This window comes from Homo sapiens, chromosome 3 (assembly GCF_000001405.40).
Source record: "Homo sapiens chromosome 3, GRCh38.p14 Primary Assembly".
Classification (NCBI taxonomy): Eukaryota; Metazoa; Chordata; class Mammalia; order Primates; family Hominidae; genus Homo; species Homo sapiens.
The window spans coordinates 51,742,446-51,759,787 of NC_000003.12; the positions used below are offsets into that span (position 1 = coordinate 51,742,446).

The 17,342-nt window shown below is 40.9% G+C and overlaps 1 long non-coding RNA gene across 2 annotated transcripts in view, besides 1 other annotated feature; it reads left to right on the forward strand.

Annotated features, from left to right (window-relative positions):
- Positions 444-944: an enhancer, noted in NCBI's record as "H3K27ac hESC enhancer chr3:51776905-51777405 (GRCh37/hg19 assembly coordinates)". NCBI's record gives its function as "activates a minimal SCP1, AML or CMV promoter by ChIP-STARR-seq in primed H9 embryonic stem cells {active_cell/tissue: H9 hESC(primed)}" and the evidence as "EXISTENCE:reporter gene assay evidence [ECO:0000049][PMID:30033119]".
- Positions 12,193-17,342, forward strand: part of LOC105377087 (uncharacterized) — a 51,385-nt gene continuing 46,235 nt past the window's right edge. For both annotated transcript variants that reach the window (XR_940838.2, XR_001740698.1), the window contains exon 1: positions 12,193-12,226. This is a non-coding gene — a long non-coding RNA (uncharacterized LOC105377087). The remainder of the gene's footprint in view (positions 12,227-17,342) is intronic.

Genomic DNA, 17,342 nt, shown 5'->3' on the forward strand with positions numbered 1-17,342 from the left:
AGTGCTCTGTGGCTAGCTAGAGGTTTGTAAAATGCACCAATCGGTGCTCTGTAAAATGGACCAATCAGCACCCTGTAAAATGGACCAATCAGCAGGACATGGGACAAATAAGGGAATAAAAGCTGGCAACCCCAGCCAGCAGCAGCAAACTACTTGGGTCCCCTTTCACACTGTGGAAGCTTTGTTCTTTCACTCTCCACAATAAATCTTGCTGCTGCTCATTCTCTGGGTCCACACCACCTTTAAGAGCCATAACACTCTCTGCAAAGTTCCGCGGCTTGATTCCTGAAGTCGGTGAGACCACAAACCCACCTATAGGAACCAACTCCAGACAAATCTTGGCAACCCGGATGGAACTTTCGCCAAGTGGTGAGTACAACTGGACCCCTTTCACTTGCTATTCTGCCTATTTTTTCTTAGAATTTGGGGGCTAAACAGTGGGCACCTGTCAGCCAGTTAAAAGCGACTAGCGCAGCCACCAGACTAAAGATATGGGTGTCAGGCTTTCTGGGAAAGGGCTCTCTAACAACCCCCAACTCTTTGGAGTTGGGAACGTTGGTTTACCTGGATCCAGCTTCCACTTTTCCTGTACTGGGCTGAGCCAAGGGTGACAGAGAGGAAAGCCATTCAGCTCCAGGGTCCTGATAAAAAGTTGGTTGACCCTGCAGCCATAAGCAGAACTCTCAAAGTTACATCACCCAAGCGAGACTCGCCCATCTATCCTGTCTATCCTGACCCTTGACTCCTGGGTCCTAACGCCTGTCAGATGAACTTCCTCCTGCCTCTCTTCTCCAAAGCTAGTTCTGCTTCTAAAAACCACTCCCTGTCTCTGGTGCTTTTCTAGTTTCTCCTATAAGAATGATTTCTAGTATAAATTTCAGGACTCTGTTCCTTTCTTTAGGCACCCAGCCTCACCAATCAGAAAGACATAATTTTTGCCCAAAGCCCCACCTAGTGGGGGAGACTATCTGCAATTTTAGGATCCCTCCTCAGTCTAGCAGGCCTAACAAAGGCTATTACCAAAGCTAGGATATGGGGAGCCTCATAAATGATATCCTTCCTATTCATATGATGAGAAGTGAGGACAAAATGTATCACTCTTCCAACCCTGGAGATCCCTTCCCTCCCTCAGTGTATGGCCTTCCACTCCATTTTTGGGTCATATCATCTTTACAGGACAGGGATAAGGTCCCAATACTAACAGGAGAAAATGCTTAGGACTCTAACAGGTTTTCAAGAATGTGTCAGTAAGGGCCACTAAATCCAACCTTCCTCGGTCCTCTTTGTGGTCTAAGAGGAAAGGCAAGGGTGCAGGTTTTCAAGAATGTGTCAGTAAGGGCTACTAAATCTGACCTTCCTCGGTCCTCCTTGTGGTCTAGGAGGAAAACTAGTGTTTCTGCTGCTGCTTTGGTGAGCGCAACTATTCCGATCAGCAGGGTCCAGGGACCGTTGCTGGTTCTTGGGCAAGAGGGAGATCTGCTGCTGCGTCAGTGAGCACAACTATTCTGATCAGCAGGGTCCAGGGACTGTTGTGGGTTCTTGGGTGGGGGAGATAAACAAACAAGCCAAAACCGTGGATGGTTTTTTCTTTCAGATGGGAAACACTCAGGCATCAAGAGCCTCGCTCTTGAAATGCATCCTAAGCCATTGGGACCAATTTGACCCACAAATCCTGAAAAAGAAGCAGCTTATTTTTTTCTGCACTATGGCCTGGCCCCAATATTCTCTCTCTGATGGGGAAAAATGGCCACCCAAGGGAAGTATAAATTACAACACTATCCTGCAGCTTGACATTTTCTGTAAGAGGGAAGGCAAATGGAGTGAAATACCTTATGTCCAAGCTTTCTTTTCATTGAAGGAGAATCCACAACTATGCAAAGCTTGCAATTTACATCCCACAAGAGGACCTCTCAGCTTACCCCCATATCCTAGCCTCCCTATAGCTCCCCTTCCTATTAATGATAAGCCTCCTCTAATCTTCCCTACCCAGAAGGAAACAAGCAAAGAAATCTCCAAAGGACCACAAAAACTCCTGGGCTATTGGTTATGTCCCTTTCAAGCCTTTCAAGCTGTAGGGGGAGGGGAATTTGGCCCAACCTGGCTACATTTTCCCTTCTCCCTCTCTGATTTAAAGCAGATCAAGGTAGACCTGGGAAAGTTTTCAGATGATCCCAATAGATACATAGATGTCCTACAGGGTCTAGGGCAAACCTCCAACCTCACTTGCAGAGATGTCATGCTATTGTTAGATCAAACCCTGGCCTTTAATGAAAAGAATGTGGCTTTAGCTGCAGCCCAAGAGTTTGGAGATACATGGTATCTTAGTCAAGTAAATGATAGAATGACAGCCGAAGCAAGAGACAAATTCCTACCAGTCAGCAAGCCATCCCCAGTATGGATCCCCACTGGGACCTCAACTCAGATCATGGGGACTGGAGTCACAAACATTTGTTGACCTTTGTTCTAGAAGGACTAAGGAGAATTAGGAAAAAGCCCATGAATTATTCAATGATGTCTACCATAACTCAGGGAAAGGAAGAAAATCCTTCTGCCTTTCTCGAGCGGCTATGGGAGGCCTTAAGAAAATATACTCCCCTGTCACCTGACTCACTCGAGGGATAGTTGATTCTAAAAGATAAGTTTATTACCCAGTCAGCTGCAGATATCAGGAGAAAGCTCCAAAAGTGAGCCCTGGGCCCTGAACAAAATCTGGAGGCATTATTAAGCCTGGCAACCTTGGTGTTCTATAATAGAGACCAAGAGGAACAGGCCAAAAAGGAAAAACGAGATCAGAGAAAGGTTGCAGCCTTAGTCATGGCCCTCAGACAAACAAACCTTGGTGGTTCAGAGAGGACAGCAAATGGAGCAGGCCAGTCACCCAGTAGGGTTTGTTACCAGTGTGGTTTGCAAGGGCACCTTAAAAAAGATTGTCTGACGAGAAACAAGCTGCCCCATCGTCCGTGTCCACTATGCTGAGGCAGTCACTGGAAGGCACACTGCCCCAGAGGACAAAGGTTCTCTGGGCCGGAAGCCCCCAACCAGATGATCCAACAACAGGACTGAGGGTGCCCAGGGGAAGCACCAGCTCATGTCATCACCCTCACTGAGCCCCAGGTAAGTTTAACCACTGAGGGCCAGGAAATTGACTTCCTCCTGGACAGTGGCATGGCCTTCTCAGTGTCAATCTCCTGCCCCAGAAGGCTGTCCTCAAGGTCCGTTACCATCCGAGGAATCCTGGGACAGCCTGTAACCTGTTACTTCTCCCACCTCCTCAGTTGTAATTGGGAGACTTTGCTCTTTTCACATGCCTTTCTTGTTATGCCCGAAAGTCCCACATCCTTATTAGGGAGGGACATATTAGCCAAAGCTGGAGCTATTATCTATATGAATATGGGGAACAAGTTACCCATTTGTTGTCCCCTACTTGAGGAGGGAATCAACCCTGAAGTCTGGGCATTGGAAGGGCAATTTGGAAAGGCAAAACATGCCTGCCCAGTCCAAATCAGGCTAAAAGACCCCACCACTTTTCCTTATCAAAGGCAATATCCCTTAAGGCCTGAAGCTCATAAAGGATTACAGGATACCGTTAGACATTTAAAAGCTCAAGTCTTAGTAAGAAAATGCAGCAGTCCCTGCAACACCACAATTGTAGGAGTACAAAAACCGAATTGTCAGTGGAGACTAGTGCAAGATCTTAGACTCATCAATGAGGGAGTAATTCCTCTATATCCGGTTGTACCCAATCCCTATACCCTGCTCTCTCAAATACCATGGGAGGCAGAAGGGTTCATGGTTCTGGACCTCAAGGATGCCTCCTTCTGTATTCCTCTGCACTCTGACTCCCAGTTTCTCTTTGCCTTCAAGGATCCCACAGACCACACGTCCCAACTTACATGGATGGTCTTGCCCCAAGGGTTTAGGGATAGCCCTCATCTGTTTGGTCAAACACTGGCCCAAGATCTAGGCCACTTCTCAAGTCCAGGCACTCTGGTCCTTCAGTATATGAATGATTTAATTTTGGCTACAAGTTCAGAAGACTCATGCCAGCAGACTACTCTAGATCTCTTGAACTTTCTAGCTAACCAAGGTTACAAGGCATCTAAATCGAAGGCCCAGCTCTGCCTACAACAAGTTAAATATCTAGGCCTAATCTTAGCCAGAGGAAACAGGGCCCTCAGCAAGGAATGAATACAGCCTATACTGGCTTATCCTCACCCTAAGACATTAAAACAATTGTGGGGGTTCCTTGGAATCACTGGCTTTTTCCAACTATGGATCCCCAGATACAGCAAGATAGCCAGGCCCCTCCATACTCTAATCAAGGAGACCCAGAGGGCAAATACTCATCTAGTAGAATGGGAACTAGAAGCAGAAACAGCCTTCAAAACCTTAAAACAGGCCCTAGTACAAGATTCAGTCTTAAGCCTTCCCACAGGACAAAACTTCTCTTTATACATCACAGAGAGAGCAGGAATAGTTCTTGGGAATACTCAGACTGGTGGGACAACCCCACAACCAGTGGCATACCTAAGTAAGGAAACTGATATAGTAGCAAAAGGCTGGCCTCACTGTTTACATGTAGTTGCGGCGGTGGCCATCTTAGTATCAGAGGAATACAAGGAAAGGGTCTCATTGTCTGGACTACTCATGATGTAAATGGCATACTAGGTGCCAAAGGAAGTTTATGGCTATCAGACAACTGCCTGCTTAGATACCAGGTGCTACTCCTTGAGGGACCGGTGCTTCAAATATGCATATATGTGGCCCTTAACCCTGCCACTGCTCTCTCAGAGGATGGAGAACCAATTGAGCATGACTGCCAACAAATTATAGTCCAGACTTAGACTGCCCAAGAGGATCTCTTGGAAGTCACCTTAGCTAATCCTGACCTTAACCTATATACCAATGGAAGTTCATTTGTGGAGAATGGGATACGAAGGGCAGGTTATGCCATAGTTAGTGATGTAACAGTACTTGAAAGTAAGCCTCTTTCTCCAGGGACCAGCACCCAGTTAGCAGAACTAGTGGCACTTACCCGAGCCTTAGAACTGGGAAAGGGAAAAAGAATAAATGTGTACACAGATAGCAAGTATGCTTATCTAATCCTACATGCCCATGCTGCAAAATGGAAAGAAAGGGAGTTCCTAACCTCTGGGGGAACCCCCATTAAATACCACAAGGAAATAATGGAGTTATTGAATGCAGTGCAAAAACCCAAGGAGGTGGCTGTCTTACACTGCCAAAGCCATCAGAAAGGTGAAGGAGAAAAGGCAGAAGGAAACCGTTGGACAGATGCTGAGGCCAAAATTGCTGCCAGGTGGAACCTCCCATTAGAAATACATACAGAAGGACCCTTGGTATGGAACAACCCTCTCCAAGAGATTAAGCCCCAGTATTCCCTGACTGAAACAGAATGGGGACTTTCACAGGGGCACAGTTTTCTCCCCTGGGTGGTTAATGACAGAAGAGGGAAAGGTACTCATAACCAAAGCCAGCCAGTGGAAAATACTTAAAACCCTCCACCAAAATTTTAATCTTGACCACAAGATACAACTTCCATAAGCCTTTCATAACCTATATTTAGGAGGTGGTTAATGAGTCAAGAAAACCTTGTTAATCTGACATGGGCCCATATGCTTGTGCCTTTGACATTAATGATTAATTTATAGAGAAACAGAACTTATTTTATCTCTCAAAATCAGCCCTTACAATTTCATATGCCCATCTCTTCTGCAATAGTCCCTGGGCCTTGAGGAGCTAAATAGTTTTAATTTCTGGCCCTGTGTTTCAGGAATGCAGTTTATTTTGATTGGCATCTTCTACCAGGCCTGAAGATGGGGATTTAATTGCTGTCAGTGTTTAAAATTTAGCAGGACTTGGTGTCCTTTTTAGACCCAGGAGTCAAAGCCCTATAACTCAATGTCATAAGTCCTTCAAAAACACATACAGAAAGATACATGGAAGTAATAACCTTAATAAAAAAAAATTTTCAATCTTCGTTTTTTTCCTAAGCAAACCAAAACTTTATAACAATGTGACAACTTGATTATATAAAAGTTTTGTTTTTAAAAAAATTTTATTACACAGACCATTCATGACATGCTTGGAGTTTCTGGTTTATCCTGAACATCCCTCCTTCTTAAACAGCCAGTTATTTTAATGTAGGACTGAATTTACCATATGAGATTCTTTCTAAAATGAAATTATTTTTCTTTAAGCTTTCTCATAAAAAAAATCTCTATTTTTATAACTTTCTTTACATCTCTTGTATGTCCTCATTCTTTTTACCTTGTTTTATACATGACCTTTAAATAAGCTTTGAATTAGACAAAAATTGTTCATCTTTTTTTTAAAGGACACACTTTTTTTTAGAAAGAATGTTTTCCTACAAATATATTTTTATTGGAAAATACCCAAATAGTGAAATATCTGTTATTTAATTTAATATAACTTTAGATTCTAAATTATGATGAATTTGTCTACAAGTATTTATCCTATTACATTTACCTAATTATTTTATTTTAATTGTTTACCTAGATTATTTACAAAAGCTGTGATAGTCATCAGTTTTCTGTTTGCTGGGTTTTTTTTTTTTTTTTTTTTTAGACAGAGTTTCACTCTTGTCACCCAGGCTGGAGTGTAATGGGGCAATCTCAGCTCACTGCAACCTCTGCTTCCCAGTTTTAAGTGATTCTCCCACCTCAGCCTCCTGAGTAGCTGGAATTACAGGCATGCACCACCACACCTGGCTAATTTTGTATTTTTAGTAGAGATGGGGTTTCGCTATGTTGGCCAGTCTGGTCTAGAATTCCTGACCTCAGGTGATCTGCCCACCTTGGCCTCCCAAAGTGCTGGGATTACAGGCATGAGCCACCGCACTTGGCTGATAGTCATCACTTAAAGTTATGGAACTGCCATTGCAAAATTATAACTGAGACTGTAAAAAAGATTTGACTCAACTGACTCCATCTTGCTGTTAACCTTTGGGCTGTTCTTGTTCATTCCTGAGTGTAGGCTGAGCTAACTTTGGAAAGAACTTAGTTTATAGTTTATTTTTGAAACAAAGATAATAATAAACCTTACAGACCGTGGACTAGCCCACCTAAAACCACAAGATTAAAAATTATGGTAATCTTACTAAATTCAAGATGTAGCAATTTTTATTAAACCAATATCAATGTCTTATTTATTAAAGATGACACAAGCAAGGATCATTCGGTTTTGGGCTGGGTTTGTAGTTTTACAACCCCTATGCCAAATTTTGACACCTTATAGTATTTGGCAGTGATAAGTATGAAATTGCTTAATAAATGCAAGCAAAAATGTATGCTGGCAAAGTCTTAAGACATTTCTAATATTATTTTGCCAATAATTTAAGAGCCAGCTTATTTACTAAAGATTTTACTTAAGTCATGTGAAACTGAAATAGCATTTGGCTAGTCTTTTTTCTTTAGTATGTGATTTAAGTGCGTTTATTTATTTATTTAGAGAGAGTCTCACTCTGCCGCCCAGGCTGGAGTGCAATGGTGAGATCTCAGCTCACTGCAACTTGTACCTCCTGGGTCCAGGTGATTCTCCTGCCTCAGCCTCCCAAGTAGCTGGGATTACAGGTGTGCACTACCATGCCTGGCTAATTTTTGTATTTTTAGTAGAGATGGGGTTTCACCATGTTGGCCAGGCTAGTCTTGAACTCCTGACCTAAGGTGATCTGCCCACCTCAGCCTCCCAAAGTGATGGGATTACAGGTGTGAGCCACTGCACCCTGCCTTATTTATTTATTTGTAAGCCAATTAATTAGAGCTCTTTTGTATATTTTTAGTAGTGAAATATTGTGTACACAACACATACATATATAGATGTATTAGGCATGTCAATAGAAGTACATCTTATAAATTCATAAAGACCTTCTTTTTTTTCTTTTCTTTAAATCTTACCCTAGGCAGTCATCAGCTAAATAGCCTTAAATGTGCATATTAAAGGAAACAACTCAGGTGAAAATCAGATAACAAAATTTACATCATAAGATATGAAGAAAAAGTCTGGTGAGCTAGAGGGAAATTAAAGTGAATTTAATTGCCAATAGAACATAAAGTTATAGGAGTCTATTATAAAGGCCTTCAAATATATATACACACACTTATACATATACATACACACATACACACACAGAAAGATTCTATAGTTTTTACTTCAGTACTTTAGATACTGATAAATACAAGTTCACCAGCTTGCAAAAACAAACAAACAAACAAACAAACAAACAAACCTGTTAGAGCCAAACAGTGGTTTTTATCTTAGTAGAAAAGTAACAGCAGATTTGCCTGGAAATGATGGCTCATGCCTGTAATCCCAACACTTTGGGGGGCCGAGGCATGTGGATCACGAAGTCAGGAGTTCCAGACCAGCCTGGCCAATATGGTGAAAGCTCATCTCTACTAAAATTACAAAAATTAGCTGGGTGTGGTGGTGTGCAGCTATAGTCTCAGCTAGTTGGGAGGCTGAGGCAGAAAAATTGCTTCAACCCGGGAGGTGGAGGTTGCAGTGAGCCAAGATTGTGATGTGCCCACTGCAATCCAGCCTGGGCAACAGAGTGAGACTCTGTCTCAAAAAATAAATAAATAAATAAATAAATAAATAAATAAATAAATAGAAAAGAAACAGCAAATTTCAAGATGGCAGAAAAGAAAATAGAGAAAAAGAGGACCTAGGAATGCTATAGTTTGCAGGTTGGCCTTAGGGCTCTTTTTCCTTAATGTCAATGTGCACAAAGACCATATTGTCTCCATTTTATTCTGGCAAGTAGAGGTTCCATAAAACCTACAGAGTGCTTGAAAGGGGGTCATTCTCCTTGTTTTCTCCTAATTCTTATATTATTTGTGTCCCACTTTTTTTTTTTATTATTAAAAGGAGGAACTGAGCTGTGGCCTAGGGTTTTTTGTGTGGTGGATCGATGTGTGCTGCTTGTGGGCAAGACTCCACAGTGTGTCACCACTGAGTTGTTTCCACCTTCTTACATGTCTCAGTTTCTCTCTCCAGAGGTCTATGACCTCTGAGAGGGCTGCCAGGTGATCAGTCCTTATATGCATTTTCTGGATAAGCCATTTTTAAAATTAATTTTTGTTGGGGATTTCCCTGCAGGGCCACTGCATGGGGGATCAACTCCCCAGACACTGCCACAAGGCCCCCAGCCATCCAGGAGCACCTTTCGGCTGGGAGGAGCACATCCCCTTTCTCTTTGGATCTGAGAAAAACTCAGTCTCTCATTAACCTATGAAAACACCAGTTCAGTTCCTCACACAAATGTGCACAGAGAAACTGAATTAAGATTAATTTTGGGAGAAAAAGCAATAGAGAAGACCCTGTAGAATGCATCTCTGAACTAGAATTAGGATCCTTAACCAACACCTTCCTAGGAGAGAAAAGAAAAAAAAAAAGAAAAACAGCCAATACTACTTCCTGTAAACTGTGTTCAGCCACCTGTAACTTTGTAGCTCTCACCCAACATTATACATGCTAAGGTCAAATCCTCTCATAGTGCAAATTCATCTCTGGTACCCCCAAAGCCAAAGAGGTCAGGTCATGCAATACAGGAAAACAGAGCTTTAGACCTAAAAGGAATCTACCCATGACTCTTGAAACTCCACAAAGAAAACAAAACACCCCAAAAGGGGGTGAGTAGCACCTTTGTTCTGAATTCTTTAAAGGGGTTCAAGTCATTAGAAGCCTTCTCTAGGTTTTTTGGTACTGCAGATGGCAAAGGGGGAAGAAGGTATAGGGCAGAAGAAAAGTAATCAAAGGAACAATTTTTTTTTAAGACAGGAAGCAAACACAGAAACCAAACACATGTTTTTTTGTTTTCTCTCTTTTTTTTAAATTTTGCAGCTGCAAGGAATTTTAGCCAAATTAGAGAGACCTTGTTACCCATAATTTGGAATTCTCACTCAGATTTGACCAAGGCAGGTAGAGTTGTCAAATCCAATGGGAGAAAGCCTGGAACAAAACAACAATGAAAACCCCCAACAATATGATAATTGAGTGCTCTAATGGTAAGGAGAAATTAAGACCAGGTGGTTGTTAAACTTTAGCCAGGGCAAAACCGCAATTCAGCTTCTTACCTAGGGTTGGGTCTCAGGCTGAAGACTGTTTTCTACCACCCTAGAAGCAGGAAAAACTTGAACTCATCTTCCCCGCTGGGAGCAGGCTCAAACTCTAGCAAAGAGTTACCTGCCTTCCATCATCATGGAAACAAAAAATCTTGCCTTCCTTTTTGAAAGCAAGTAAAACTCAAACAAAACAAAACAAAACAAAACAAAACAAAACAAAAACGGAAATGTACAGCAAAATAAACTTTAGCTCTCCACCAAATTTTGGGTGACCTTCTGGAGGGGTGCTCCCAGACCTCAGCAAATTGTCCTATTGGTTTGAGCTATAAAGTTAGCTCATGTTGGCATCAAGCACCAATAGGAAATTTGTCAAAGGTCAGGGACATCTCCACTCAGAAGCCATCCATGGTTACCAAATGTGAATCCTGAAAATTTGAGACATGTCTCAGTTAATTTAGAAAGTTTATTTTGCTAAGTTTGAGGATGTGCACCCATGACACGGCCTCAGGAGGTCCTGATGACACGTGCCCAAGGTGGTCATAGCACAGCTTGGCATTATACATTTTAGGGAGACATGAGACATCAATCAATGTATGTAAAATAAACATTGATTCAGTTTGAAAAGGAAAGGTGGGACAACTTGAAGTGGGGAGAAGTCTTCCAGGTCACAGGTAGGTGAGAGACAAATGGTTGCATTCTTTTGAGTTTCTGATTAGCCTCTCCAAAGGAGGCAATCAGATATGCATTTATTTCAGTGAGCAGAGAGGTGACTGAACAGAATGGGAGGCAGGTTTGCCCTAAGTAGATCCCAGCTTGACTTTTCCCTTTAGCTTAGTGATTTTGGGGGCCCAAGATATCTTCTTTTCACACTAGGCATATGATGAATAAGGTAGTAACTCTGGAAACTAGATTCTCCCCTTTTCCCAGAGTTTGCTGGGTTTTTTTTCTTTCTTTTTAAAATTTAAGTTGTTGTGGGTTGTCTCTGTGCCAGGATCAGCCTGAAGTGTAAACTTAAGGTCTCTCAGATCTTTTCTAGACCTGTCCTTTTTCCTGGGTATGTGCAGTGGCTTTATAATTTGGTTGCTTGGAATATCCTAGCTTTTAAATCCCTGGCTCCCAAAAGAGGAAAAAGAGAAAAATGAAGTGTGAGGGGAAAAAAAGACATTCTAGTCCTTTAAATCTTTTGGATGTTGCTTCAGCTGGAGGGGGAGGGGCTTGCAACAATGGGGTGAGGGTGTGGCAGGTTGTAACAATGATTGCCCACCTCAGTGTCTGACCTCTGTGATCAGAAGCAGCAATCAGTAATCAGAGCACAAGTTGCCAACATTTGGAGGACAGGATCCTCATTGTCTACCTGAGTTTCTGTGAACTGTGCAAGGTGCTCCTGGAACGTGTGCATGGATGCCTACCACAGTGCTTGGGGGTGGGTAATGGGTAGATACTGCCATGCTGATGTTTGAAATGCTTGTTCCCTGGTGCTGTAAAGAAATAGCACTTGAGGCTAGGCGCAGTGGCTCACGCCTCTAATCCCAGCACTTTGGGAGGCCAGGGCGGGTGGATCATGAATTTCAGGAGATCAAGACCATCCTGGCTAACACAGTGAAACCCCGTCTCTACTAAAAAATACAAAAAAATTAGCCAGGCATGGTGGCGGGCACCTGCAGTCCCAGCTACTCAGAAGGCTGAGGCAGGAGAATGCTGTGAACCTGGGAGGCGGAGCTTGCAGTGAGCTCAGATCGTGCCACTGTACTCCAGCCTGGGTGACAGAGTGAGACTGTCTCAAAAAAAGGAAGGAAGGAAGGAAGGAAGGAAGGAAGGAAAGAAAATAAAATAAAAAAAGAAAATAGCACTTGAACACAAATTTAATTTCCCCAGCAAGGCCATTTTCTTACAAAGGGTACACTCACCAGCAGTTTTGCCATGAGAGTCCACCGAACAAAGGAGACAGGGTCGTTTATAACCTGACACGTCTACCCTACTGCTGTGTCTGGTTTCCATTGGCTGGAACGGGACCTCACACTCTGTATTTGTCCCGATTGGCTAGCAACTTAGAACTTTTTAAAAGAGGCAAAGGCAGAGGAGAAGAAAGGAAAGAGGAAGTAACTTGTGGAATGCTAAGAAAGGTAAAAAACACCTTCAAATAAGGAAGAGGAACAGGCTATGACCTAATGCTTGCTTGGACCAGTATAAGCATGCCAAGGCAAATATTTAGGCTAAATTGTGGGAGCTAAGAATATAAAGTACATTGATTTCTTTATTATGTCTAGCAGATATTTAAGAATGTTAGCACAGGTCTTTGAATAAATTTTGCTTCTAAGAGAAGTTACTATTTATTCCTAATTAGACAGGGAGGAAAGTCTTTGAAGAGGAACCTCTACTTTACTTTTTATGCTAAGAACTGAAATGGATCAAAGTTAATGCCAATTTACAGTCCAAGCCTTACCTTGCAAGTTACAAGCCTTCTTCTAAACTCCAGAGTTCCAAAACAGCTACATCAGGTAGATTCTGCCAGCACAGCAGTTGTCTAGATGGAGAGATTGATCCCTGCCATCTGCCCGGAATCCTCTCTCCTTCACTTTTGAAGGATAATTTTGCTGGATATAGAATTCTAGGCTGGAGTTTAAAATTTTTCAATTCCTTAAGTATTTCACTCCATTCTCTTCTTACTTGCATGATTTCTGAGCAAAGTTCAATGTAATTTTTATCCTTGTCCCTCTATAGGTAATGCATTGTTTTTCCTCTGGCTTCTTTCAGAAGTTTCTATTTTTCTTTGATGTTCTGCAGTTTGACTATGATATGCCTAGGTGTGGATATTTTGATATTTATCCTGCCTGTTGTTCTCTGAATTTCCTGGATCTGCGTTTTGTTGTCTGTCATTAATTCTGGGAAATTCTCAGCCATTATTACTTTAAACATTTCTTCTGTTATTTTCTCTCTCTTTTCTTCTGGTATTCTCATTATGCATATGTTACAGCTTTTGTATTTATCTCATAGTTCTTAGATTTTGTGTTTTATTTTTTCATTCATTTTTCTTTCTGCATTTCAGTTTGGGAAGTTTGTATTGACATGTTCTCAAGGTCACTGATTTTTTTTCCTTGGCCATGTCCAGTCTACCCATAAGCCCATCAAACAAATTCTTCATTTCTGTTGGTGTTGTTTTTTATTTCTAGCATGTTGCTTCATTACTCATCTCTTCTTTCCTATTGTTCCCCTTTCCACTAGATTCCTTAGAATATTAATCATAGTTATATTACATTCTCAGTCTGATAATTCAAAATGTTGCATGCATCCATGTAAAGAGACCACCAAATGGATTTTGTGTGAGCAATAAAGCTTTTTTAATCTCCTGGGTGCAGGCAGACTGAGTCCAAAAAAGGAGTTAGCAAAGGGAATAGGGGTGGGGCAGATTTATAGGATTTGGGTAGGTAGTGGAAAATTACAGTTAAAGGGAGTTGTTCTCTTGCGGGCAGGGGCAGGGTCACAAGGTGCTTGGTGGGGAGTTCCTGAGATTCACTGTCCAGGAGAAGGAATGTTACAAGGTCAACTGATCAGTTAGGGTGGGGCAGGAACAAATCACAATGGTGGAATGTCATCAGTTAAGACAGGAACCGACTATTCTCACTTCTTTTGTGGTTCTTCAGTTGCTTCAGGACAGCTAGATGTATATGTGCAGGTCACAGGGGATCTGATGGCTTAGCTTGGGCTCAGATGCCTGACATTTTTGTCTTCTTATATTAGTAAGAAAAACAAAACAAAATAGTGGTGAAGTGTTGGGGTGGCAAAAATTTTGGGGGGTAATATGGAGAGATAATGGGCAATGTTTCTCAGGGCTGCTTTGAGCAGGATTAGGGGCAGTGTGGGAACCTAGAGCGGGAGAGATTAAACTGAAAAAAGATTTTGGAGTAAGGGGTGATATTGTGGGGTTGTTAGAAGGAGCATTTGTCATATAGAATGATTGGTGATGGCCTGGATGTGGTTTTGTATGAATTGAGAAACTAAACAGAAGACACAAGGTCCAAATAAGAGAAGGACAAAAACAGGTATTAAAGGACTAAGATTTGGGAGGACCCAGGACATCCAATTAGAGAGTGCCCAACAGGGTTCAGTGTAATTATTTGCTTGTGTTGCTGTAAAGGAATACCCAAGGTAATTTACAAAGAGAAGAGATTTATTTGGCTCATGGTTCCATAGGCTATACAAGAAGTGTGGCACCAGCATCTCCTTCTGAGGAACTCAGGAAGCTTCCAATTATGGCAGAAGGTGAGGGGAGAGCATGCACATCACATGGTGAGAGAGGAAGGGAGTGACAGAAGGTTGGTGCCAGACTCTTTTTAACAATCAGATCTTGTGTTAACTAATAGAGTAGAAGTCACCCATTACTACAAGGGCAGCACCACGCTGTTCATGAGGGAATCTGCCCCCATGTCCCAAACACTTCCCACCAGGCACCACCTCTAATATTGTAGATCAACTGTCAACATGATATTTGGAGGGGACAAATATCCAAACTATATCAGAAAGCTTTCAGGTTTTTCCCATTGATTACAATGTTAGTTGTGTGCTTTTCACATATGATCTTTACAGTGTTGGAATGTTTCTTGAATACTTCTTGAGAATTTTTATCATGAATGCATGCTGAATTTTGTCAAAATTTTTTTCTGTATCTATTGAGATAATCATGTGTTTTTAATCTTTCATTTTGTTAATGTGGTGTATCAAGTTTATTGATTTGTGTGTGTTGAACCATCCTTGCATCCAAGGGATAAATCTCACTTGATAATGGTGTATGATTTTCTTAATGTGTTATTTAATTCAGTTTGCTAGTATTTTATTGAGGACTTTTGCATCCATGTTCATCAAGAATGTTGTCCTATAACTTCCTTTTCTTGTGATGTCTTTGTCTAGCTTTGGTATCAGGGTGATGCTAGCCTCATGAAATAAGTTTCTTCCTTTTTTTTTGGAAAAGTTTAAGAAGAATTGATATTAATTATTCTCTGAATGTTTGGTACAATTTACCCATGAGGACTTCTGGTCCTGTGCTTTTCTTTTTTGGGAAGTTTTCGATTACTAGTTCAATCTCCTTATGCATTATTGATCTACTCAGGCTTTCTATTTCTTCTTGATTCAGATTTGATATGTTGTATGTTTTTAAGAATTCATCCATTTCTGATAGGTTATCCAATTTTTTGGAGTATAGTTGTTTATAATAGTCCCTTATGAAACTTATTTCTGAAGCATCCATTGTAGTGTCTCTGCTTTCATGTCCCATTTTATTTACTTGAGTTTTCTTTCCATTTTTCTTAGTCTAGTTAAGTCTTTGTTAATTTTATCTTTTCAAAAAACTAAGTCTTAGTTTTGTTGATTTTTAAATATTTTTCCCATTCTCCATTTGATTTATTTTTGTGCTAATTTTTTTTTATTTCTTTTCTTCTGGTAACTTTGGGCTTAGTTAGTTCTTTTTTTTTAGTTCTTTGAGGTATAAAGTTAGGTTATTTGAGATCTTTCTCCATATTAAGTGAAGGTATATGATACGGTTTTGCTGTGCCCCCACCCAAATCTCATCTTGAATTGTAGCTCCCACAATTCCCATGTGTTGTGGGAGGGACCGGGTGGGAGGTAATTGAATCATGGGGGCGGGTCTTTCCTATGCTATTCTCATGATAGTGAATATATATCACAAGATCTGATGGTTTTATGAAGGGGAGTTTCCCGCACAAGCTTTCTTCCCTTGTCGGCCACCACTTGAGACATGGCTTTCACCTCCTGCGATGATTGTGAGGTCTCCCCAGCCATGTGGAACTGAGTCTATTAAACCTTTCTTCTGTAAATTGTCCAGTCTCAGATAGATCTTTATCAGCAGCGTGAAAACGGACTAATACAGTATATAATACTATAAATTTCTCTCTTAGTATTGCTTTTGCTGAGTCTCATGAATTTTGATAGGTTGTGTTTTTGTTTGTTTGTCTGAAGATATGCTTTTAAAATCCCTTTTGATTTCCTGTTTGACACAATGATTGTTCAAGAGTCTGTTGTTTAGTTTTCATGTATTTGTAAATTTTCCTTTTTTTAACTATTATTGATTTCTAGTTTCATTCTGTTGTGGTCAGAAAAAAATGCATGAAACAATTTTTATCTTAAATTTGTTAAGACTTGTTTTTTGACTTAACATGTGATCTATTCTGAAGGATGTTCTGTGTACACTTGAGAATGAATGTATATTCTTCTGCTGTTGGGTAGAATGTTTTCTATGTTTCTATTAGGTTCATTTGGCCTATATTGTTGTTCAAATCAGCTGTTTCTTTATTGGTTTTTCTGTCTGGATGTTTTATCCATTTATAAAATTAAGGGTATATTCAATATAATCCATAGGCTTTAAAAAATGTGGGGCATAGAAGTCCCCTGATATTACTGTATTGCTATTAATATCTCCCTTTAGATTTGTTGATATTTGCTCTGCATGTTCAGGTATTCTGATATTGAGTGCATCTACATTTAGAATTGTCATATCTTCCTGTTGTGTTGGCCCTTTTATCATTAGATAATGAATTTCTCTGTCTCTTGTGACAGTTTTTTTACTTAGGAGTCTATTTTGTCTAATATTAATATAGCTACCCCTGCTTTTTGTTGGTTACCATTTGCATGAAATATCTTTTTCCATTCCTTCACTTTAAGCCTATCTATGCTCTTAAATCTAGAGTCTTTTGTAGACAGCATATTGCTGGATGTTGCTATTGTTGTTTGATCCATTTGGCTACTCTATGCCTTTTGATTGAAGAGTTAAATCCACTTAAGTTTAAAGTGATTATTGATAGATGAAAACTTACTACAGCCATTTTGTTTTTTGCCTATTTTGCACTTATTGTATTCCTCTTTCTCTCTTCCTGGTTTCCTTTGTTGTTTGATGATTTTCTGTAATGTTTTGTTTAAATTCTTTTTTTTGTTTTTTTTTGAGACAGTCTCACTCTGTCTCCCAGGCTGGAATGCAGTGGCATTATCTAACCTCTGCCTCCCAGGCTCAAGCAATTCTTGTGCCTCAGCCACCTGAGTAGCTGGGATAACAGGCGTACACCACCACACCAAGCTGATTTTTTTTTCTGTATTTTGAGTAGAGATGGGGTTTTGCCATGTTGGCCAGGTTGGTCTTGAACTCCTGACCTCAAGTGATCTGCCTGTCTCAGCCTCCCAAAGTGCTGGGATTACAGGCATGAGCCACTGCACCCAGCCTAAATTCTTTTGTTT